We start from the raw sequence: 3,032 nt of genomic DNA, 5'->3' as shown, positions 1-3,032 counted from the left end.
AATCAGCTTATAAAATTATCTGTAAGAGGATAGAAGATAAACAGTTGAGGAAATGGAAACAAAGGGAAAATAATGAAAAGAGATAAAGCTAAGAGTGAGGCAAAAACACTAAGATAACTACTGCTATGGTCTGAATGTGTCCCCCAAAATTTGTGTGTTGGCAACTTGACTTCCAGCACAGCAGTGTTGGAGGTGGGGCCTTTTGGAAGGTAGTTGGTCATGAGAGCTCTGCCTTCATCTATGGATTAATGCTGTTATAAAAACGGCTTGTGGGAATGGGTTCTTTCTCTCCTGTTCCTCTGTGAGGACACAACGTTCATTCCTTTCTTGCCCTTCTGCCATGTGAGGATGCAGCAAGAAGGCCCACACCAGATGCCAACACCTTGATCTTGGACTCCCCAGTCTTCATAACTGTGAGAAATACATTTCTGTTATTTATAAATTACCCAGTCTGTGGTATTCTGTTATAGCAGCACAAAATGGGACTGAGAGCTACCTAACATTAAGTCCTATACAAGAGTAGAAGTGGGCTGCAAAATTGACTGAGCCTCCTAGCAACTGAAGCAAAAAAGGAAACATAATCACAGTTCAATCACAGTGGCCATAGATAAAAACAAGCCTGTTTCTACACATGGTATATTTAGCACATCATTTTTCTGAGATTTGTTGGGCAGAAAGAAGACTTGTTGATATGGACTTACATGAGATTTGTCAGGAAATCTGAATGCTTCTTACTACCATTATTGTTTTTGACTTTGCAAAAATTCTATCCTTGCTCATGCGTAAATTAGAAATATCATGACTTCAGAACGTTGGATGTTTCAGCTCCTGACCAAGATGAAAATCACAAACTTGCCAGTAGATTTTGAATCCAGTCCACATTCTCAATATTCTTGAGCCTCCGGAGTATCCCTTTGTTGAAGTGGATTCCAGAGAGGAACGGACTTCTCTGGGTCCAGTGTAACTGATCAGAGACAACCTCTGGGATGTTGCAAGGATTGTGGGAACCCAGAGCTGAACAGTGGATTCTTCCAGGGCATTAAGGGCCAGAATAATAATGTTATCTTGTCCATACAGAGGAAAAATTACAAGTTTTATAGCTACTAAATACAAGGCTCTTCTGGCATTAGGCATGATAGATATCTCAGGGAAGTGAAAAGGTCAGTACTCATTTTAGTAAAGGTTCCCCAGATCTGAGGAAGAGAGGGTATTCCAGTTGGCCTGAGGGGAAGACTGGCATTCACTTCAGTCTTCATTCTTGAGAAGATTTACTAGTTTAACATCATGGTAAAATAGATGTTAATTCTAGGGGGAAATCTCTTCCATTTTGTAATTTAACTAAAAGATAAAAAATAAATGAGCGGATATTTTCATATTTTTGAGATACCTATAATGCCTAATGTTAAAAGATACATTTATTAGCTATGAAACTTTTAATTTTTCAATTGTTTTGGCAAGATAACATTAATAGCCATAATATAAAATAGAAAAAAATTTACCCCAATTATTCCTATACAATATATCATTCTTATTTTGTAATTCTGCTTTTGTACCAAATGATATATCATACAAAAATTTAATGTTATGCAAGCATATTCATAATTGTCTTTGTAAATGACAATATTAATTACATATATAAGTTAGTTAATTATTTCCTTATACACTTACATTTATCCAGTTGCTTCACAAGTATAGATCGTGCTTTGGTAAAGCATTCTTTTCTTTTGGAATATATTACTCAGATGGCATTTCAGAGTTGAAAGGCTTGAAGATTTTAATGGCTTTTAATATGTATTGACGAATTGTCAAAATTCTGCTTCAAATTGCAATAACACCTAGCAATATATGAATACACAAGTTTTACCAGTCTCATCAACATTGGGTTTCATAAGATTTTCTATATTTGGCTAATCTATTATTTAATTTTTTAACATAATGCATCTGGGTTTTCTTTTTAACCTTTCTTCCTTTTATTTTTATTTTTCTTCCAACTTTTATTTTAGATTCAGGGGATACATGTGAAGGTTTGTTACTTGGGTATATTGTATGATGCTGAGGTTTGGGGTATGAATGATCCCGTCGCCCAGGTACTAAGCATAGTACCCAATAGTTAGTTTTTCAAAACTTGCCCCTTCCCCCTGCCCCCTCTGATAGTCCCCAGTGTTTATTGTTGCCATCTTTATGTCCATGAGTACCCCATGTTTACTTCCCACTTATAAGTGAGAACATGTGGTATTTGGTTTTCTGTTTCTGCATTAGTTCACTTAGGATAATGGCCTCCAGCTGCAACCATGTTGTTGCAAAGGACATTATTTTGTTCTTTTTATGGCTGTGTAATAGTTCATGGTAATACATACAATTTGGTTCCTCCCTCGTATGAATTTTTGGTTGTGTGGAGTGGGATGCAGAACATTTTTTCATATGTATTTTGCTACTTATATTAAGGGAGGAGATCACCCCTCATATTGTCTTATGCCCAATTTCTACCTCCAAAGAAAGAAGAAGTAAAAAGTAAAAGGCAGGAATGAAATCCACAGGCAGACAGCCCGGTGCCATGCCCTGGGCCTGGTAGTTAAAGATCAACCCCTGACTTAACCGGTTATGTTATCTATAGATTCCAGACATTGTATGGAAAAGCATTGTAAAAATCCCTGTCTTGTTCTGTTTCATTCTGATTACCGGTGCATGCAGCCCAGTTACATACCCCCTGCTTGCTCAATTGATCATGACCCTCTCACGTGGACCCCCCTTAGAGTTGTGAGACCTTAAAAGGGACAGGAATTGCTCACTTGGGGAGCTCAGCTCTTGAGACAGGAGTCTTGCCCATGCTCCCGGCTGAGTAAACCCCTTCCTTCTTTACCTCAGTGTCTGAGGAGTTTTGTCTGTGGCTCGTCCTGCTACAATATCTTTTCTGTGTGGATTGTATCATTTCTCAATAATGAATCTCAACAATTTCTTCATAAATCATAATTTCTTCATATTATGTAAATATTCATTACATTTTTAATAAAAATATTTTTTTCTATTTTCTT

The sequence above is a fragment of the Homo sapiens genome, chromosome 6 (genome assembly GCF_000001405.40).
Source record: "Homo sapiens chromosome 6, GRCh38.p14 Primary Assembly".
Lineage (NCBI taxonomy): Eukaryota > Metazoa > Chordata > Mammalia > Primates > Hominidae > Homo > Homo sapiens.
This window is presented reverse-complemented; position numbering follows the sequence as displayed.